This window comes from Homo sapiens, chromosome 19 (assembly GCF_000001405.40).
Source record: "Homo sapiens chromosome 19, GRCh38.p14 Primary Assembly".
NCBI classification, from domain to species: Eukaryota; Metazoa; Chordata; class Mammalia; order Primates; family Hominidae; genus Homo; species Homo sapiens.
Genome location: NC_000019.10, coordinates 16523925 through 16545404, shown reverse-complemented (window position 1 = coordinate 16545404; position 21480 = coordinate 16523925). Strand labels below are relative to the sequence as shown.

The window sequence follows — 21480 nt, the reverse complement described above, 5'->3', positions numbered from 1 at the left end:
CCCGGGAGGCGGAGGCTGTGGTGAGCCGCGATCACGCCATTGCACTCCAGCCTGGGCAACAAGAGTGAAACTCCATCTCAAAAAAAATAAAAAATAAAAAATATTTTTTAAATAAACAGTATGATCCCACACTGTTCTCTCTGCCTGTTTAGGGTGTTTAGAGCTGGCCCCTTGTTCAGATCATAGTGCAGACCTCACCTCGAGAGCCTTTCCTGACAACCCTATCAGCCTGGGCCTCACCCTCCCTTGTATCATAGTCTCAGCATCCTCTTCTTAATAACACCTTTGAGATGATATATTTGTTTACTGATTTTGGGACTCTTCCCCGCCATAGACTGAGTCCCCTGAGAGCAGAGCTGAGATCTGAGTTGTGCATGACCGTATCTATAAACCACATCCAACTGGCCGCCTGTTTTTGTGAGCCAGGAAGGTTTTTCAAAGGTGAACATGTACCATCAATTGACGACAGGAAATACAACTGGGAGCCCCAATTAAGTGAAATGTTATCCCCCAAAAGAATTCCACTCTTATGAATAGACTTGGGTCTTAGTCCATTTTGCATCGCTATAAAAGAACACCTGAGACTGGGCAATTTTTAAAGAAGAGAAATTTATTTCTTACAGTTCTGGAGGCTGAGATATCCAAAATCAAGGGCCTTCTTGCTGGTGGGGACTCTGCAGAGTCTTGAGGTAGCACAGGGCATCACATGGCTAGCAGGCTGTGTGCAAGCTCAGGTCTCTCTTCCTTTTTTTTTTGAAACGGAGTCCTGCTCTGTTGCCCAGGCTGGAGTGCAGTGGCACGACTTTGGCTCACTGTAACCTCCACCTCAACCTTTGCCTTCTGGGTCCAAGTGATTCTCGTGCCTCAGCCTCCCAAGTAGATGGGATTACAGGCATCCGCCACCATGCCCGGCTAATTTTTGTATTTTTAGTAGAGATGGGATTTCTCCATGTTGGCCAGGCTGGTCTCGAACTCCTGACCTCAGGTGATCTGCGTGCCTTGGCCTCCCAAGGTGCTGGAATTACAGGCATGAGCCACTGAGCCTGGCCTTTCTTCCTCTTTTTATTTTATTTTATTTATTTTATTTATTTTTTTTTTTTGAGATGGAGTCTCACTCTGTCGCCCAGGCTGGAGTGCAGTGGTGCAATCTCAGCTCACTGCAAGCTCCAAACCAGTCCCACTCCCATGATAACCTATTTATCCATTAACACATGAATGGCACGACCTCATAACCCAATCACCTCTTAAAGGCTCCACCTCTTAATACTGTTTCACTGGGGATTAGGAACAAACATTCAAACTGTAGCAACTTGTATTTAAGAAACTACTCAGTTATCATATTTTGATTTTCACCAACAAAAATTTTATGAACTTTTCTTTCTGGTTATAGAAATACCTAAATAAGGCTGGGTAGGGTGGCTCACACCTGTAATCCCAGCAGTCTGGGAGGCCAAGGCAGGCAGATCATGTGAGGTCAGGAGTTCAAGACCAGCATGGCCAACCTGGTGAAACCCCATCTCTACTAAAAATGCAAAAATTAGCCGGGCGTGGTGGTGCGCACCTGTAGTCCCAGCTCCCCTGGAGGCTGAGGCAGGAGAATTGCTTGAGCACGGGAGGCAGAGGTTGCAGTGAACCGAGATCACACCACTGCACTCCAGCTTGGGCGAGAGAGAGCAAGACTGTGTCTCAAAAAAAAAAAAAAACCAAACAATTAAGATCCTCGATCTTCATGAGAAAATATGAACTAGAGGACATTTAGAAAAAAAAAAATCCTTGATCTTGCCTCCTGACCTGCAGAGTCTAAAATATTTGCTTTCTGTCCCTTTTATACAAAAAGTTTTGTTGATTCCTAGCCTACAGCAACACTTGATGTAGAGTTGTCAATCCATAAGCATCTGGTGGAAAAATGCTGTTAACAATAAAAATGAAACTAATCTAAAATACATGTGCATTTATTTGCACAGAAAAAAACAGGCTGGGTAAAGTAGCTCATGCCTATAATCCTAGCACTTTGGGAGGCCGAGGCGGGAGGATTACTTGAGCACAGGAGTTCAGGGCTAGTGAGCTATGATCATGACACTGCACTCCAGCGTGGGCCACAGAGCAAGACCTTGTCTCAAGAAAAAAGAAAAAAAAAAACGGATAAAGGAAAAAAAAGCGGCGGGGGCGGGGGGCAGGTATAGCCAACTAAGCATTAACCATCTCAAGAGGATCAGTTTATATCGGACGTCCACAGCAGAAATTTGCTGCTTCTGGCTATCTTTTCCCCACAATTAGCAAGGGTTAGCTTCATTATTTTAGAGGCAACCCAACTGCAGCTTTTAGAAAGGCGCTGTGCCCTCTAGGCCAGCAATTTGAGGGCATGGGTTGGGGGGTACCCCGCCCCAGTCTTCCTGACCAAAGAGTGGAGCGGAAGAAAGCCAGGAGGAGGATGTTTTGAACCTAAATACGTCCAGCTGCAATCCCAGTCAAGCTCGTCGCCCCCAGTTCTGCTCCACCTCCGGTCTGGCCGGGGAGAATGTGACAGTCGCCGCAGCCCGGGATCCACCCGGACGCACCTCACCTCGCAGTCTCCTCACTGTGCCCGCGAAAGGAAAGAGACCCTGGCCCAGGCACGAAGTCCCCAGGCCCCTGGTCGCCCGGAGGTAGCAACCAGCCAGCCCATCGGGCTGCGACGCCGACCAAGGGGCACGCCCCGCGCCCCCCGGTCTCGACTAACACCCACCCGCGCCGTTCCAGCCTTTCCGCGGCGCCGCGCGACGGGGACCCACTCTGCGAAAGTGTCAGGAAACTTCTGCGCGTGCGCGTCGCTAGCCCCTCCCGCGCGCCAGGCATCGCGCGGCTTCTTCCCGCCTGCCTCCCGCTCTCACTTCCGGAGTTTCCCAGCGACGGCCGTAAGTGGCGGGCGGAAGCGGCCCTAGAAGCCCGCCGTAAACGGCTCCCTCGCGCCACTTCCGGCCGGCTTCCGCAGACGGCGCTGGTGGTCGATCGTGTGGCGCCGGAGGACGTTCCCCGCGGCCGGAGCCATGGAGATGCCGCTGCCCCCCGATGGTGAGACCCAAACCGGCCGAGAGACCGTTTCTCTCTCCCCGGAACCTCCTATTGGCCGGCCCCGCCTCCCGGAGTCCCCGGGTCTGGGAGGGGGCGGGGCTCGGCCTCGCGGCTTCGCCTGCGGCCTCTCCCGTGGGTCCCCGCATTCCCGGCGAGCGTGTGGCCCCTATCGGGACCCGTACAAGGGCGGCCTCTTCGGGGCCCACCCCCTTGGGGTCCCCGGCAAGGCGGACGGGGGCTGGGGCGCCGAGTCCCCCGGCTTTGGGCGGTCCTCGCTGACGCCCCGCGTGGCCTTTTCTCCGTCCTCCAGACCAGGAGCTTCGAAATGTCATCGACAAGCTCGCCCAGTTCGTGGCTCGCAATGGGCCCGAGTTTGAGAAGATGACTATGGAGAAGCAGAAGGACAACCCCAAATTCTCGTTTCTTTTCGGAGGCGAATTCTACAGTTACTACAAGTGCAAGCTGGCGCTGGAGCAGCAGCAGCGTGAGTCCCCTCCGGCACTCAGGCCGTCCCATCGAGCGCTTCCTTTCTCGGATTCCAGTCCGGGCTCTGCCACAAACCTCTTTCTTTCGGGTCGTTTATTCTTTGAAGTGGAGCAGCTCGGTCCACACGATCCCTGTTCCGCTGTTCCCACGGCCCTGCACAGAGCGGCTGCTGGGTGCCACTGTAATGGAGAACAACGAGGTTTTCGATCCTCCCCCCTGGGCTCTGGATCAGGGATTTTGCTGTTGTTTTGCAGACTGATGACGGAGATTAGCAGGAGTAGCGTGATTGTTTTAGTGTTTTCTAGGGAGGAAGTGATAGAGGCCGGATGGGAGTCCATGGGACAGGCACTGTCCAGCCCCCTTTGCCGTCTCCCTGTGGGTCCAGCAAGGTTTTGTGCATTTCAGATGCCTGCAGCAGAAATCAAAAAGAATTATCCCTCTGAGTTTTAGTTATTGGCAAGTGTTTATCAATGTTCGTTCATTTAGGCAACAGGATTCCAGTCCTGCTCTAAAGAAGTTTAAAGTTAGGAAGCAGAGCTGGCCTTTGAATAATGGATAGTCACCAGGTGGTGCGGCTGCTCAGGGCAGGTATCACATCTGTCACGTTCAGTACCCAACCCCGTCTCTAGATTGTTTAAATGAATAACTAGGAGTTTGCCAGGTAGATGGACATTGAGAGGTGGTTGTCCGCTGTTTGATCGAACGCCAATTGTGTGTTATGTATTAAGGTACAATGACCCAAACAAGGTCTGTTTGGCTTCGGCGAGCGTGTAGTTCAGGGGACTACACGCTCGTCTTGTATTAAGGTACAAGGTCATTGTCCCTTAATACATAACACACAGTTGGTGTTCGATTAAACAGCTTGAAAGGAGGCCTGTTGCAGTGGCTCATACTGTAATCACAGCACTTTGGGAGTCCAAGGCGGGCAGATCACTTGAGGTTAGGAGTCTGAGACCAGCCTGGCCAACATAGTGAAACCCTGTTTCTACGAAAAATACAAAAATTAGCCGGGTGTGGTGGCCCGCGCCTGTAGTCCCAGCTACTTGGGAGGCTGAGGCGGGAGAATCGCTTGAACCCGGGAGGTGGAGGTTGCGGTAAGCCAAGACCACGCCATTGCACTGCAGTCTGAGTGACAGAGTAAGACTCCATCTCAAAAAAAAAAAAGAAAGAAAGAAAAAGAAAAGGCTTGAAAGGAGGCCAGGCGTAGTGGCTGACGCCTGTAATCCCAGCACTTTGGGAGGCTGAAGCGGGCAGATCACTTGAGGTTAGGAGTCTGAGAACAGCCTGGCTAACATAGTGAAACCCTATCTCTACTAAAATTACAAAACTTAGTCAGGTGTGGTGGCACACACCTGTAGTCCCAGCTACTGGAGAGGCTGAGGCAGAAGAATCGCTTGAACCTGGGAGCTGGAGGTTGCATTGAGCCGAGACCACACCATTGCGCTCCAGCCTGGGTGACAGAATGAGACTCCATCTAAAAAAAAAAAGCAGCTTGAAAGGAGGCCAGGCCCAGTGGCTTGTGCCTGTAATCCCAGCACTTTAGGAGGCTGAGTCAGGCGGATCACTTGAGGTCAGGAGTTCGAGACCAGCCTGGCCAACATGGTGAAACCCCATCTCTACTAAAAATACAAAAAAAATTAGCCAGGCATGGTGGTGGGCACCTGTAGTCCCAGCTACCCGGGAGGCTGAGGCAGGAGAATCGCTTGAACCTGGGAGGTGGAGGTTGCAGTGAGCCAAGATCGTGCCACTGCACTCTAGCCTGGGAGACAGCGAAACTCCATCTAACAACAACAACAACAAAAACTTGAAAGGCTGAGAGAGTAGAACATTGCAAAGGGGCAGTTTCTTGAACAAGAAACAGAGAGAGAGTTTATGTGTGTATTGCCAGGCACAGTGGCACACACCGTACCCCCAGCTACTCAAGAGGCTGAGGCTGGAGGGTTGCTTGAGCCCGGGAGTTCAGGGCTGTAGTGCGCTGTGTCGATTGAGTGTGTGCAGTAAGTTCAGTGTCAGTATGGTGACCCCCTGGGAGCTGGGGACCACTCGACTGTCTAAGGGGTGGTGAACTGGCCCAGGTCAGAAATGGAGCAGGTCGAAACTCCTGTGCCGATCAGTAGTGGCCTCACGCCTGTAAATAGCCACTGCACTCCAGCCTGGGTGACATAGTAGAGAATCTATTTAATAAAAGAATGTGCTTGTATGAGGGAAGAGTTTGACCTGGAGTGTTAACTGCCAGGGGAAAAGTTTGGGTTTTTTCACTCAATCCAGGGGTTTTTCTGATGCCTATTTAGGTTTGAGATGCGGGGGTGGGGTGGAGAGAGATCAGCTGCCTGAAATCGTAAGCAAAATATTGTATGTGCTTATGTGTTTCTAGAGCGATCCTTCCTTAGCCCCAGCACACCAAGTTTAAAACCGTTGCTAGGCCGGGCGCGGTGGCTCACGCCTGTAATCCCAGCACTTTGGGAGGCCGAGGCGGGCGGATCACGAGGTCAGGAGATCGAGACCATCCTGGCTAACACGGTGAAACCCCGTCTCTACTAAAAATACAAAAAATTAGCCAGGCGTGGTAGCGGGCGCCTGTAGTCCCAGCTACTTGGGAGGCTGAGGCAGGAGAATGGCGTGAACCTGGGAGGCAGAGCTTGCAGTGAGCCGAGATCGCACCACTGCACTCCAGCCTGGGCGACAGAGCGAGACTCCGTCTCAAAAAAAAAAAAAAAAAAACCGTTTCTAAAGGCAGCGGGAAGCCACAAGAGTTTTAAACAAGGGAGAGGGTGGCTTGGGTTGTGTGGCCGGTGGTGTAGGACAAGCTACAGGGACCAGCCTGGGGAGCAGTGAGGCCTGCAGGGGAGCAAACAGGGCAGTTGTTTAGGTGAGAGATGGTGGGGTCTGAATTAAGTCAGTAGGTTGAGCCTGAGGGAGGGAGCATGGGGGGCAGGTGGGGTGAAGGGGTAGAATCCATGAACTTGGGCGCCAGTTGCATATTGACGACCTGATGGTGTAATGAGCAGGGGAGGAAGACACCTCAGACGGTGCTTTGGCTTGGGTGACTGAGCTAAGGGCTGCTTTCCCTTTCTGGGGCGGGGGGGTGGCCACTTGGAAGCTGGTGCCATTATGAGGAAGGAGAGGGTGCTTATGCTTATAGCCCAGGAAGATTGAAGCCAAGAAGTGCTTTCTTTTTTTTTTGGAGATGGAGTCTTGCTCTTGTTGCCCAGGCTGGAGTACAGTGGCAAGATCTTGGCTCACTGCAACCTCTGCCTCCCAGATTCAAGCGATTCTCCTGCCTCAGCCTCCCAAGTAGCTGGGACTACAGGCGTGCGCCACCACACCCAGCTAATTTTTGTATTTTTAGTAGAGATGTGGTTTCACCATGTTGGCCAGGATGGTCTTGATCTCTTGAACTCATGATCCGCCCACCTTGGCTTCCCAAAGTGCTGGGATTACAGGCGTGAGCCATCGTACCCAGCCAAGAAGTGCTTTCTGTGGGTGATGATATCTTGGCTAGATGTAAAGGGTGTGTTGGAGTTGGCCAGGTGAAAACAAGGGGAGAAAAGTGTTCCGGGCAGAGGAAGGAGCCCTTGGAGGGAATGGGGAACCCAGAGCTTAGGGTGGCTGAAGCCCAGAGTAGGAGGGGTTCTTGGAGTGGCCAGAGGTGGGGGTGCAGAATTGGGAGCCTGGCTTGGGGAGGAGTTGGAGGCCTGGCTTGGGGAGGAGTCGGGGACCTGGCTTGGAGAGGAGTGAGGAGTGTATCCTGGAAGCGTGGGAGAGACTCGTGGAAGGTTTAGGTCTGTGTTGTGAAGCTGGGTTAGCCACAGTACAGCCAGTTCTGCACCCCACGCCTTAAAGCCTGGGCCTCAACTGTTGTAGAATGGAGCTTCACGAACTCTGTGGTGAAGGACCATTTCTGGTGTTGTGTTTTAAGTTTCTAACCTGTTGTGTGTGGACCAAAACTTCTGCAAAGCACAGTAACAATGTGGACCGTGAACCATCACGCTGCTAGAAAGGTTTTGAAATGCTCCCTTTCTGGTTCCATAACCGTCTGTCACCGCTGGGTAGCCCAGGGACCACTCCATAAGTGGCAATACCATGACTGCCATGTCAAAAAGAGGTAGAGGGATGGGACCTGATGCAGGAAGACCGGTTCTGGGGTGACGCAGGTGACAGCAGATCCATGGTGGTGACAGCGGGGACATAGACTGATTGGAGTGATGTCTCGGAGGCCGCCTTGACACTATGTGGCTCGTCACTGGGAGGCACATGCTACTTCTGGCCTGGGTTTCTGGGCAGATGGTGGTGCCAACCATGGTGCGGGGAGCACAGGAGGGGACATAGGTGTAGGGGGTGAGAGGAAACACAGGCCCCTTGGAAACACAGTGGGCCGTGCAGTTGGTGGTTAGGGCCAAAGCTCAGGAATCCAGAATGGAGATGATGGATTTAGGAATCACACCATGCACAATCGCAGCCACAGGAATGAGTAGCTCATGTTGCCCGGCGGTTGCGTAGAGCGGAGGACAGGGCTCAGAACACAGGCCGCGCACCCCAGCATGTGAGGGTCCAACGGGAGAGGGGTTGGTAAAGGGGGAGAAAGGGACTGAGGGGGCGAACACATGGAGGCCAAGGGAGGCAAGCACCTGCGACAGGCCCGGGGGGCTGAGTTGAGTGAGGGTGTCCTCAGCTGCCTGGGGGAAGGAGGGGGGTGCGGGGAGTGGCAAGCAGGCACCAGGCTGAGATAAAGGGGAGGTGAAGATCTGGAGTGAGTCTTGTCTGAGAAATCGTTTAGAGAGGGATCATGGGGTAAAGGGAGAAGTTTCCAACCCAGAATATTCTGATGTGTTTATTTATTTCCTTTTTTATTTTTTGAGATGGAGTCTCACTCTGTCACCCACACTGGAGTGCAGTGGCGCCATCTCGGCTCACTGCAACCTCCACCTTGCAAGCTCAAGCAATTCTCCTGCCTCAGCCTCTCAGGTAGCTGGGATTACAGGTGCCCGCCACCACGCCCGACTAATTTTTTGCATTTTCAGTAGAGACAGGGCCATGTTGGCCAGGCTGGTCTCGAACTCCTGACCTCAGGTGATCACCCGCCTTGTCCTCCCAAAGTGCTGGGATTATAGGCGTGAGCCATCATGCCCAGCCCAATGTGTTTAGATGCTGCTGGGGAGGGACGGGTAAAGAGGGAGGAGTTGGAGAAATAAGAGATAGAAGAAATATCAATAAGCAGTGTCCCTCAGACAGTGGGAGGGGTGGGATTCAGTGCAGAAGTTGGGGGTCATCCTGTAGGGTGGCTTTGGGTGCACAAACTGGAGGGCACAGTCAGCCCCGAGACTTGACTTGAGCGCCCAGTGAGGGGCGACACCTTCCACCTGACACCCCACCTCCCTTATCTTTGGCTTTGTCCTGGTCCCCTTGGAGTGGGGCTCTGGAGGGCTCCAGGGGTACCTGGTCACATTTAGACCAGGCGGCCCCAAGACGGAGAGAGAGGCAGGTCATCTTGTCCAGGGCCTCCTTATGAGCCGGGTCCCTTCCTCAGAGACCTCACCACCTGCCCCATCTGGCCAGAGTTGGGACCTGCGCCCACCCTGACCCAGGCTTCTGCCGGCAGAATGGGTGTCTCACTGCTGCCTCAAACTGGATGCACCCCTGAATGCAGAGGGGTCTCTGTCCCCAAGGGCTGGAGAAGCAAGGAGAGTCAGTAGAAGGACAAGGCAGGTGTGGGGGAGGCCGCAGTGTGCGCTCGGGGGTGCGGCTTCGTGCCTTTCTGGCCAGATGTGCAGAGGCCCGGTGGCTGTGACATCTTAACAGTCAATGGGTAGCTTAAGTGGCAGAGGTCAGGGAGTGGCCGAGGAGGTCGGAGGATGAGAGGTACTGAGGCCTGGGTTCTGCATCAGGTGGGGCCTAGGTGGGTGAGGAGGTGGGCAGGCAAGCTTAGCTTGCACCGGAAGGACACTGCGCAAGGACTGGATGGTGCTGGCGAGAGAGCGGCCAGGGGACTTCCTAGGTTCTCCGAGGAGGGGACGGCCCGAAGATGGAATGCTGAGGCTGGGATCCTGTGAGAGGGAGGGCAGGACCCGAGACTAGGAGGAGCTGGTTTGCGTGGGCATGAGGCTATGAACAGGCCCTCGTGGATGGTGAGTCCCTGGGGAGGGGGAGGCCCCTGTGGCTGAGAGGTGGCCAAGGGGACACCTAGACCCCCATCTGCATTCTCATGGGGCACCCCTCCTCCTCTCCCTCCAGTCATCTGCAAGCAGCAGACCCCGGAGCTGGAGCCAGCCGCCACCATGCCACCCCTGCCACAGCCCCCGCTGGCCCCCGCCGCGCCCATCCCGCCGGCCCAGGGCGCGCCATCCATGGACGAGCTCATCCAGCAGAGCCAGTGGAACCTCCAGCAGCAGGAGCAGCACTTGCTGGCGCTCAGACAGGTATGGGCCCGCCGCCTCCTCGGCCAGACACCAGCAGCTCCCCTGTGCCTCTGTTTTTGCGTCTGCTCATCAGAATGAATAACAGGTGTCAGTGAGGACAGGGCCCCCCCTGCCACCCAGGGCTCGGTGCATGTCAGCCACTGTCACCCCCAGCCCTGATGCCAGACACAGAGGCTGCTTCTCATCTCAGTGAAGCCACTGGACGTGCGTGCACCCATCACCCTGGGGTGGACCCCCCTGAGTGGGACTGTGGGGCACGTATGCACCTTGAAGCTCCCTAATGGCTGTGGCCAGGCAGCCTCTGGTGCCTACCATTGGCCCCACCACACAGTAGCTAGGTCACCTGGAGCTGTTGGTTGGGGAAGGACCCTTTTTTTTTTTTAAGTCTTGTTCTGTCGCCCAGGCTGGAGTGCAGAGGCGTGATCTCAGCTCACTGCAGCCCCTACCTCCCGAGTTCAAACGATTCTCCTGCCTCAGCCTCTGGAGTAGCTGAGATTACAGGCATGCACCACCACACCCGGCTAATTTTTCTATTTGTAGTAGAGATGGAGTTTCACCAGGTTGGCCAGGCTGGTCTCAAATTCCTGACCTCAGGTGATCCACCTGGCCAGAAGGACCCTTTTGTCCTTCCTGGTCCAACAGTTTGATAACTTTCGCCAAATAGAATACAGGTGCATTGGCTGGGTGTGGTGGCTCACACCTGTAATCCCAGCACTTTGGGAGGCTGAGATGGGCAGATCATGAGGTCAGGAGTTCGAGGCTAGCCTGGTCAACATGATGAAACCCTGTCTCTATGAAAAATACAAAAATTAGCTGGGCGTGGTGGTGCACGCCTGTAATCCCAGCTACTTGGGAGGCTGAGGCAGGAGAATTGCTTCAACCTGGGAGGAAAAGGTTGCATGAGCTGAGATTGCACCACTGCACTCCAGCCTGGGTGACTGAGCAAGACTCAGTCTCAGAAAAAATAAATAAATAAAATACTACAAGTGCATTGCCAGAAAAATGAGAGGAATAGAATACCAAACCTCCAAAACACCAACCCCACGCTCAGTACTAGGTTCAGGGCATAAAATCACACTGTCATATTGCTCTCAGAAAATTCCAGCTGGGCACAGTGGCTCAGCCTATAATCCCAGCACTCTGGGAGGCCAAGGCAGGCGGATCACAGGGTCAGGAGTTTGAGACCAGCATGGCCAATATGGTGAAACCCTGTCTCTAGTAAAAAATACAAAAATTAGCTGGGTGCAGTGACAGGTGTCTGTAGTCCCAGCTACGCGGGAGACTGAGGCAGAATTGCTTGAACCCGGGAAGTGGCGGTTGCAGTGAGCTGAGATTATGCCATTGCACTTCAGCCTGGGCGACAGAGCGAGATTCCATCTCAAAAAAAAAAAAAAGAAAAGAAAAGAAAGTTCCAGAATGCTCACCCTCAGCTTCTGTTCATCATGGAGTGGGAGGCCTGCCTTGACCAGCCGTAACTGACCGCTGGTCCGCATGGCAGCTCTGTTTTTACCAGTCGCACTTTAACCGGTGTTTCCTCTTGAGGAATGAGATTGCCCCCTTCTTGCTTCACTAGAGGCCATGGGTGTATCCTCTTCTTCTATTGCCTGTCGTTCACACCATGCCTCATTTGTCTTTTTTTTTCTTTTCTTTTCTTTTTGTTGTTGTTGTTGTTGTTGTTTTGTTGTTGTTAGAGACAAGGTCTTGCTGTGTCACTCAGGCTGGAGTGCAGTGGTACAGTCACAGCTCACTGTTTAACTTTGAACTCCTGGGTTCCAGCAATCCTTCCGCCTCAGCCTCCCAAGTAGTTGGGAACACAGGCACACACTACCATGCTCAACTAATTTGTATTTTATTTTTTGTAGAGATGAGGTTTCGCTACGTTGCCCAGGTGGTCTGGAGCTCCTGGGCTCAAGCGATCCTCCCGCCTCAGCCTCCCAAAGTGCTGGGATTACAGGCATGAGCCACCGCGCCCCGCCTTTGTTTTTTGTTGAGTTGGTTTGCAGAGGTTGTTTGTTCCTCTGGGCTGCAGTGTTTTCCTTGGTTACCTGGAGGGCAGGTGTTGTCTCCTGGTATGTCCTGTCAGTGCCCTGCCCACTCCAGGAGGGACTGTCACAGATTCACGGCAGGCATGAGAGACAGAATCTCCTCCTGCTGGGGACAAGCAAGGGAGCTGATGGCCAGAGCAGCCCAGAGTCCGGGCATCGCCACCATGTCCCCACCCCGCCCCTGCTGAGCCAGGCCGGAGGGCTCAGGCTGCGGGTCCCTCCTCATGTGTTCTCGACCCCACCGACCCCCGCCCGCAGGAGCAAGTGACAGCGGCCGTGGCCCACGCGGTGGAGCAGCAGATGCAGAAGCTTCTGGAGGAGACCCAGCTAGACATGAACGAGTTTGACAACCTCCTGCAGCCCATCATCGACACGTGCACCAAGGACGCCATCTCGGTGAGGGGCCAGCACTTCCCAGAGCCCAGCTTTCCCTTGGTCCCTCCCTGAGGCAGGGCCTGTCGTAGCCAATCTGGGCTAAGGGCTGTTACAATGGGTGCCCTTCCCTCCCGCCTGGAGCTCCTGAGGCTGTGGGACCCTGTGCCCCCCACGCTCATGGTGTGTCCTTCCCTGAGCTGATGGTGACGCGCTCTCAGGGATGCAGTGGGTGCCTGGGGGAGCCGCGGCCCTGCTCACTCGTCATTGGCTCGGTTGTTGCAGGCCGGGAAGAACTGGATGTTCAGCAATGCCAAGTCCCCGCCGCACTGTGAGCTGATGGCCGGCCACCTCCGGAACCGCATCACGGCTGATGGGGCACACTTCGAGCTGCGGCTGCACCTCATCTACCTGATCAATGACGTGCTGCACCACTGGTGAGCGCCGCCACCCCGTGCCCAGAGCGCCACTTCCTCGCGCTCCTCCTCAACCCTCCTGGGTGGCCGCTTGCTCCGGTCGGTAGCTTGGCTTGGCCTGTCCCGAGACTAGGGGGCACTTGTCCGGGGACCCCGGGTGGGGGGTCTCTGTGAGCCACCAGGCTTCTGTCTCCAGGACTGCGAGGTCTAGGTGTCCTGTGCACCTTCGCTGCATGCCCTGTCCTCTCCCCTAGACCCCGGCCTCACCTGTCACATTGCTGTCTCCTGGGGGCCACTGTCCCCTGCACTCCTTCCTCTCATGGGGCAGCTTCTTGGCGTCTCCTTGTTGCCTTCTCAGCCACGGCCTCCTTGGCCTCTGTGTCTGTCTCCTGCCCTCGTCACTGATTTGCACGCACACACACGCGGTCACCTGACTTTGCTCAGCCATCAGGACCCTCCTTTGGGATCCCCTTCTCCAGCCCTGACCCATCTCTCAGGCTTCAACAGAGCCACATCTGCCGACCCTCTGTCCCCACCCAGCCCTCACCCTTCCCACTGTTGCTGTCTCCACCCTCCCCAAGGTTGGGTGGGTATTTCCTTCTACAGGGTCACTGGGGCCCTTCTCACAAAAATTAGCAAAAAAGAAAAAAAAAACAATAGAACCCCAGGCCAAAGGCCCGCACGTGCGGGAGGAGACAAGCATTGCTACTGAGCCTAGCGGGCAGCAGTCCTGGCCTGGCGCCTCGTGTGCCTCTACAGTGGGCCAGGCTGCCAGCACCCATCTCGCCCCATCTATCACATGCAGCACTGCCTGAGTCCCTCTTGCCTCCCCACCTCAGTCCCTGTTTCTCTCCTGCTGGGAAGTGAGTTGCGGCTCGGCACCAGCTCTGCCCTTCTGCTCCTCCTCATGCCTCCATTTCTCCCTGCCTCTGAGTCGGGTGCCTTGCACGGATGCACAGTTTCCCGCATTCTCCAGCCACGCGCCTCTCTAGCTCTACTCTGTCCGAAGCCAAGTGCTGCTCGCCCAGCCCAGGCCCTTGCTCCCCTGAGCCCCCTGCGGCAAGCTGAGGGCTGAGGGGCTTCCAGCTGCTCCCCTCCTGTCTTGCGTCCCTCCCCAGGGGCAGCCATCTCCCTGCGCAGCGGCAGGGGCCTCCCAGGCCAGGTATGCACAGTGTCCTGTGCAGCACTGCACAGCAGCCCTGAGAGGACATGGGCCCGGCGCCTCCCCCCGCTGGGCATCCGGTCACTCTTCTAAAGTGTTCTAGGTTCCTGAGGGACTGGGCACCCTCCCTCCTTCTCCCAAGAGGCCTGGCCTGGGCCGAGGTTTCCTTGTGCATAGTGAGTGACAAGGACAAGACCCCCACTCCGCAGCAGTCCCATCCCGCCCATCATACACAGGCAGGGGCTCCCGCCGGCCCATATCCCTTCACCCGCAGCGCCACCCAAGAGGGAAGGAGGGAAGGTTATTTCCTATCAAGGGGACTGGACCAAAAGGCCTTGCTCAGAACGGCCCCAGGCCACGTTCTCTCCCTCCCCTGCTTGCTGTTTTTCCATCTGTCCCTTCCTCGAGCCCAGGCACCAGCACAGGTCTCGTGGGAGCCCAGCCATCGCCCTGACCGGGTTGGGGACCCGATTCCCGAGAAGGCAGAGGGCGCTGAGGCTGGAGCCGCGATGGTAACGGGCGCGTGGCCGGGTCCCGCCCCAGGGCCCTGACGCGCGGAAAGTCTCTCCCTCACAGCCAGCGCAAGCAGGCCCGGGAGCTGCTGGCCGCCCTGCAGAAGGTCGTGGTGCCCATCTACTGCACCAGCTTCTTGGCCGTGGAGGAAGACAAGCAGCAGAAGATCGCCCGGGTGCGTGGGCCCCGGGCCGGGGGTTGGGCAAGACCGGGACACACAGGCCTTTCCCCTCCCCACTGACCCGGCCTCTCTCTCCTCCCACCGCCAGCTCCTGCAGCTCTGGGAGAAAAACGGCTACTTCGATGACTCCATCATTCAGCAGCTACAGAGCCCAGCCCTGGGGCTTGGTCAGTACCAGGTGAGTGTCCCTGCCCACCCACACCTCACCCTAGAGCTGGGGCGGGTTCCCCAGGAGGGTTTGGGAGTGTGGGGACAGCAGCTGCCACCCCAGCAGCCAGAGAGCCCATGTCCCCTGCCTGTGCTAGGAGTAGCCAGTGTGTGTTGACCAGAGAGTCCCAGGTGACATTTCCCAGGCCTTAGGTGTGTCTCCCTGACTTTCCTGGAACACTAGAACCAGGCGGCCTTTCGGAGTCATTGCACATGGCCCATTTGCTCTGGTGGTCAGGCATGTTCCGGTGTGGTGGAAGCATGAGGAAGCCCAGACGTGGCTTAGGCTGTGGCAGCCCCTCTTGCTGAGAGCCACATGGCGAGTGGGAGGCAGAGCCCATGAGCGTGTCCCAGAATGTTGGTGGGCAGTGTTCGCTGAGCAGCCACGAAGCGGCCAGGACACGGCTGTCGTTGCTCGTTCTGTTATCAGGGAGTCGTAAAACACGCTGCAGCGAACATCCTCATCCCCAAATCTCTGGCCAGATCCCAGCGCACACTGATTGCCCAGACTGTGTTGGCTGTTTCACGTGACGGTTCCCTGTCCACCTGCCCCAGGTCCCCCAGGCTCTGCTGCTTTCCAGGCGTTTGTCCTCTGGCGCCAGGCAGCGAGCCCCAAGGCCGCATACTGAGCAGCGGGTGCTCTTCTCTCTCTCAGGCCACCCTCATCAACGAGTACTCCTCAGTGGTCCAGCCGGTGCAGCTGGCCTTCCAGCAGCAGATCCAGACCCTCAAGACGCAGCACGAGGAGTTTGTCACCAGCCTGGCCCAGCAGCAGCAGCAGCAGCAACAGCAGCAGCAGCAGCTCCAGATGCCGCAGATGGAGGCTGAAGTCAAGGCCACGCCTCCACCGCCTGCTCCACCCCCGGCCCCAGCACCTGCCCCTGCCATCCCGCCCACCACCCAGCCTGGTACGGGGCTCCCTCAGCTCAGCCTGCCCCCAGGAAACAGCCCCCAGAGGCTGGGCACCGAGTGTAGTCAGAAAGCAGTCTGCCACCCTCAGACTCAGTTCTTGTTCCCTCGTCCCAGGCCTGCTCCTAGGCCCAGGTTTTCATCCATTTACAAGCACGAGCCAGGTGATCCTAGAGTAAAACTACAACCATCCCATTCCTGAACAGCAGAAGATCTGTTTCCTGTTCCCAGAGAAAAGAAATAGAGGAAAGGTACCCAGATCATTCCCCAAGACTAGGGTAACTATTACATCAGGCAGGAAGGACAATGCACAGACTGAAAATATAATTGGCTAGGCATGGTGGCTTACGCTTGTAATCCCAGCACTTTGGGAGGCCAAGATGGGCAGATCGCTTGAGCCCAGGAGTTTGAGATTAGCCTGGGCAACATGGTGAAACCCCGTCTCTACTAAAAATAGAAAAATGGTGCTCACCTGTCGTCCCAGCTACTTGGGGGCTGAGGTGGGAGGATCACTTGAGCCCATGAGATTGAGGCTGCAGTGAGCTGCATTTACACCACTGCACTCCAGCCTGGGTAACAAAGCGAGACCCTGTCTCAGAAAATACAATCTAGTGTCACTTCTGAAAAAGACACGGAAATACTGAAGGAAATCTTAGCAGAATCTAGCAAAGGATTTTGTTTTTGATTTTTTTTTGAGATGGAGTCTTGCTCTGTCGCCCAGGCTGGAGTGCAGTGGCGTGATCTCAGCTCACTGCAAGCTCCGCTTCCTGGGTTCACGCCATTCTCCTACCTCAGCCTCCTGAGTAGCTAGGACTACAGGCGCACGCAACCATGCCCAGCTACTTTTTTGTATTTTTAGTAGAGACGGGGTTTCACCGTGTTAGCCAGGATGGTCTCGATCTCCTGACCTTGGGATCCACCCACCTCAGCCTCCCAAAGTGCTGGGATTACAGGCGTGAGCCACCGCACCCGGCCTAGCAAAGGATTTTAAAATTACATTCTGATCAAAGAAGATTTGTTGTAGGAATATGAGGATTGTATAGAATAGAAAATAACAGATGTGGGGAAATGACCTTTTAATTAGATACAGTAAAGATGTCTAATCAAATTCAGTGTGGATAGAAATTCTTCAGCAAACCAAGAAGGCAGAAGTGAGGCCTGTTTCTTGTAAAGCTTTGAAAAGGACAGATGTGTGTCATGTTCAAGGTCGAAACCTCCCCTCGCCCTGTCCCCTTCCTGGAAGCCAGTGATAGTCATGGTTTTAGTGGGTCCTGAAGCGATCATCCACTGGGCACTAAAAGCGGTAGCCTGGTTTGCTCTGGGGTAGTGTGGAGAGGAGACAGCGCCTCCTGCTGCCAGGCCTGCTCTAACTGCCTGTCACTTGGATTTAGATGACAGCAAGCCTCCCATCCAGATGCCTGGCTCTTCAGAGTACGAAGCTCCAGGAGGGGTCCAGGATCCTGCAGCTGCCGGCCCCCGGGGCCCCGGGCCACACGACCAGATCCCACCAAACAAGCCCCCTTGGTTTGACCAGCCTCACCCCGTGGCTCCTTGGGGCCAGCAGCAGGTATTGATTGGAACCTGGGGTGGGAGCAGATGGGGCACACTTGGCCTGATGGGGTAGCCTCCCCTATGCCAGTTGGTGGGCGTTGAGTGGCTTACTGGGGAACAATGAGGGATATTCTGTGGCAGAGCTTATGCTGGGTTAGTGACAGCCCTGTCTTCCTGTGGCTCCGGGACAGGTCAAGTGACAGGTCTTCACGTCCCTTCCCCGAGCTTTGATGGTTTGGGCTTCTCTGTAGTATAGATCACCATTGTCCTGCGAGTGCAGGGGAGTTTAACGCTGCAAGGCACGGCAGGGTGTTCTGTTTCCTGTCCTCCTTAAACAGGTTAAGCTAGTTGAGTGTCAGTGTTTTGTCATCCTGGAAAGAACAAGGTGCTTTTGTAAGGAAAGGGGGAATGTCAGAAATGTCAGCCGTGTTGCCCCTGGGAGGCCTCAGATGCAGCTTTGCTATGGGTCACATACCCCTGGGCCAAGGCAGGGGCCACCTTATGTGGCACAGCATGGCTGTGAAATGCCCTGCAGCGTGCTGGGTCCACTTTCAGCACTGAGGCACAGCCCCGGGTCTTCCAGGGCGTGACTTTCCCCCTTGCCCGTGGGGCCTGGTTGGCTTCGCAGCGTGGCCTTTCCAGGTGACTCCCTGTCTGCAGGGACAGGTGTAAGGATGGCAAGGAGACTGGCTCTGGACTGAGACTTGGTGGTTGTGGCTTTGAGCCTCCCATCCCCAGCTTCAGGACACGAAATTGAACCTCACAAAAGATTGGACACCCCCATAAAGACAGCTCCCACCTCCAAGTGCTGGCCAGGAGCCAGATGGTGGTGGCTGTTTTGCAGGTACCCTCTGCTGGGGGGGGCAGTTCTTGTCCCTGTTTTGTAGGTGTGGAAACAGGCCCTTAGTGTCTCCAGGCTCAGTCTTTTTGCAGACCAGAGGGTTGGGCTCAGGACAATGGGCACGCCCCTCACTGAGGGTGCCCGCTAGGCCAGCAGTGCATCCTGCAGTCCACACTGAGAAACAGCAGCCTGGCCTGCTTGACTTGGCCATGTGGGGTCTTAACACGTTTAAAAGTAATTTCTCAAGGCAGGAAGATTGCTTGAGGCCAGGAGTTTGGGACCAGCCTGGGCAACAAGGCAAGACTCCATCTCTACAAAGAATAAAAATAAGCTGGCATGGTGGTGCACACCTGTCGTCCCAGCTACACAGTGGTCTGAGGCAGGAAGATTGGTTCAGCCAGGACTTCAGGCTTCATTGAGCTATGGTCATGCCACTGCATTCCAGCCTGGGTGACAGAGTGAGACCTTGTCTCTAAAAAAGAAAAGCAAGGCTGGGCGTGGTGGCTAACGCCTGTAATCCCACACTTTGGGAGGCTGAGGTGGGCAGATCATTTGAGGTCAGGAGTTTGAGACCAGCCTGGCCAACGTGGTGAAACCTCGCCTCTACTAAAGATAAAAAAATAGCCGGGCATGGTGCCAGGCGCCTATAATCCCAGCTACTCGAGAAGCTGAGGCAGGAGAATCACCTGAACCCGGGAGGTGGAAGTTGCAGTGAGCCAAGATCGCGCCACTGCACTCCAGCCTGGGCAACAGAGCGAGACTGTCTCAAATTAAGAAAAAGAAAAACAAGTAGTTCCTGATATTTAATATCTGGCTCTCTGGCTTCTCTTGGAAGCCTGGTGAATGTGGCAGCCTGGGCCAGCCTCCCCTTAGTAGGGGTCAGCGCAGTTACCCAGCTGTGACCCTAGACACCGGCCTTCTCATTGGCCTCTGTGCTCCTCCCCTCCCCTGCCCAAGCTGGAGTTTGCCCTCCTGGCTTTAAGTCTCCAGAGCAGAAGCTGATGAGGGAAGAGCCTCCCGTCTTCAGTCTACAGGAAGATGCTGGCTTGGTTTGAAAGTCCCCAGAAGCAGACCCCAGGACAAGGATGTGTGTGCCGCAGTGTATCTGCCCAGCAGACGGCTTTTGGGGAGAGGGGGAGTGAGGCAGGGCAGGGGGTGTCAGAGTGAGCCCCGCCCCATGGGTGCCTGGGGTGCCCTGAGAAGCGATACCGTCTGTGCCTCTGCACCTGCCCCTGAGGGGCGAGGGAGCTGGCGTTTGTCTGGCAGTGGTAGCGGGGAGCACCTTGTGGCGCGGGCGGCCTGTGTGCGGGTGCAGCGCGCCCCAGCGGCAGAAACAGCCCCGGGACTGAGATGCGGGTGCAGCGGTTGGGTGTCTGGTCATTTTGCAGCAGCATGTGGTGCGGGCTGAGAGCAGGTGCCCAGCATCCTCGCAGGCGTCAGCGTAGGAGGCGCCTCAACGTGGCCAGGGCAGCGCCTCCATGGTCTGAGCCAGCGCTGTGATGCTGCCGAGCGCTGTGATGCTGCCGAGCACTAGGGCCTAGACCACGCAGGGCTCAAGCCTGTCCCTTCCCTTGCAGCCGCCAGAGCAGCCACCCTACCCGCACCACCAGGGCGGCCCACCCCACTGCCCCCCCTGGAACAACAGCCATGAGGGCATGTGGGGCGAGCAGCGCGGTGACCCCGGCTGGAACGGCCAGCGCGACGCGCCCTGGAACAACCAGCCCGACGCCGCCTGGAACAGCCAGTTCGAGGGCCCCTGGAACAGCCAGCACGAGCAGCCGCCCTGGGGCGGGGGCCAGCGCGAGCCACCCTTCCGCATGCAGCGGCCCCCACACTTCCGGGGGCCCTTCCCGCCCCACCAGCAGCACCCGCAGTTCAACCAGCCTCCGCACCCCCACAACTTCAACCGCTTCCCGCCCCGCTTCATGCAGGACGACTTCCCGCCACGGCACCCCTTCGAGCGGCCGCCCTATCCCCACCGCTTCGACTACCCCCAGGGGGACTTCCCTGCCGGTGAGTGTACGGGCGCCTGGGTAGGGCCTGGCGGAGGCATCCACGGCTCGCCTGCCGAGCAGGCTGGTGGCGCTGCTTGTGGCCCTGCCATGCTCCTGAGTGCACAGTGACAGACACAGGGTCATGGGACGTCCGAGGAGCCCGGCCTGGGTTCTCAGGAAGTGGGGGCACAGACTCAGTTTTGCCGCCCTGATGAGGCCCGGCTGGCTGCAGATGAGGCAGAGCCAGTAGGAAAAGGTTCCTGCCGTGGGTGGGCGTGGCGAGGGCAGGGCGGGGCCTCGTTCTTTTTACTGCTGCTGCTTGTTTTTTGCATCAGTTTTCCCGTTGTATTAGTTCGTTTAAAAAATCAATACTTGGCGTGGTGTCGGGCGCCTATGGTCCTAGCTGCTCAGAAGGCTGAGGTTGCGGTGAGCTGTGATCGCACCACTGTACTCCACCCTGGGCGACAGACCGCTGTCTCAAAAAAAAAAAACAAAAAACTACTTTTCTTTTTTAAAAAAATTTTATTTTATTTTAAATAGAGATGGGGTCTTGCTATGTTGGCCAGGCTACTTTCAAACTCCTGAGCTCAAGCAGTCATCCCACCTCAGCCTCTAGAGTAGCTGGGTCTACAGATGTGAGCCACCATGCCTAGTATCTTTGTTATTGATTTTATTTCTAATCTTTTAGTACTTTTTTTTTTTTTTGAGACAGAGTCTCACCCTGTTGCCCAGGCTGGAGTGCAATGGCACAATCTCAGCTCACTGCAACCTCCGCCTCCCAGATTCAGATGATTCTCCTGCCTCAGCCTCCCGAGTAGCTGGGATTACAGGTGTGCGCCACCATGCCTGGCTAATTTTTTGTGTCTTTAGTAGAGACAGGGTTTCACCATGTTGCCCAGGCTGGTCTCGAACTCCTGACCTCAGGTGATCCGCCCGCCTCGGCCTCCCAAAGTGCCGGGATGAAAGGTGTGAGCCACCTCGCTTGGCCTTTTGTTGTTGTTGTTTGTTGTTTTTTTGAGACTGAGCCTCACTGTCACGCAGGCTGGAGTGCAGTGGCACAGTCTCGGCTCACTGCAGCCTCCTCTTGGGTTCAAGTGATTCTTCCACCTTGGCCTCCTCAGTAGCTGGGATTACAGGCATCAGTCACTATGCCCAGCTAATTTTTGTATTTTTAGTAGATGGGGTTTCGCCATGTTGGCCAGGCTGGTCTCAAACTCTGGGCCTCAAGTGATCTACCCGCCTTGGCCTCCCAAAGTGCTGAGATTACAGGCGTGAGCCACCATGCCCAGCCTTCTCTCTTTAAATACATTTCTGATTATAAATGCAGCTTGAAGAC

General features: G+C 55.8%; 1 protein-coding gene and 1 pseudogene across 1 annotated transcript in view, besides 3 other annotated features; both read left to right on the top strand.

Annotated features, from left to right (window-relative positions):
• CHERP (calcium homeostasis endoplasmic reticulum protein) overlaps positions 2968–21480 on the top strand; it is a 24544-nt gene continuing 6031 nt past the window's right edge. The window contains exons 1-10 of the mRNA NM_006387.6: positions 2968–3051; positions 3362–3535; positions 9769–9953; positions 12257–12394; positions 12656–12807; positions 14525–14636; positions 14731–14820; positions 15505–15757; positions 17150–17325; positions 19728–20163. Coding sequence (NP_006378.3) covers positions 3027–3051; positions 3362–3535; positions 9769–9953; positions 12257–12394; positions 12656–12807; positions 14525–14636; positions 14731–14820; positions 15505–15757; positions 17150–17325; positions 19728–20163 — 1741 coding nt within the window. The 5' untranslated portion in view covers positions 2968–3026. The remainder of the gene's footprint in view (positions 3052–3361; positions 3536–9768; positions 9954–12256; positions 12395–12655; positions 12808–14524; positions 14637–14730; positions 14821–15504; positions 15758–17149; positions 17326–19727; positions 20164–21480) is intronic.
• Positions 3067–3256: a silencer, noted in NCBI's record as "silent region_10304". NCBI's record gives its function as "represses an Ori minimal core promoter by ATAC-STARR-seq in GM12878 lymphoblastoid cells {active_cell/tissue: GM12878}" and the evidence as "EXISTENCE:reporter gene assay evidence [ECO:0000049][PMID:35858748]".
• Positions 3267–3336: a silencer, noted in NCBI's record as "silent region_10303". NCBI's record gives its function as "represses an Ori minimal core promoter by ATAC-STARR-seq in GM12878 lymphoblastoid cells {active_cell/tissue: GM12878}" and the evidence as "EXISTENCE:reporter gene assay evidence [ECO:0000049][PMID:35858748]".
• Positions 5421–5717, top strand: RN7SL146P (RNA, 7SL, cytoplasmic 146, pseudogene; annotated as a pseudogene).
• Positions 17031–17080: a silencer, noted in NCBI's record as "silent region_10302". NCBI's record gives its function as "represses an Ori minimal core promoter by ATAC-STARR-seq in GM12878 lymphoblastoid cells {active_cell/tissue: GM12878}" and the evidence as "EXISTENCE:reporter gene assay evidence [ECO:0000049][PMID:35858748]".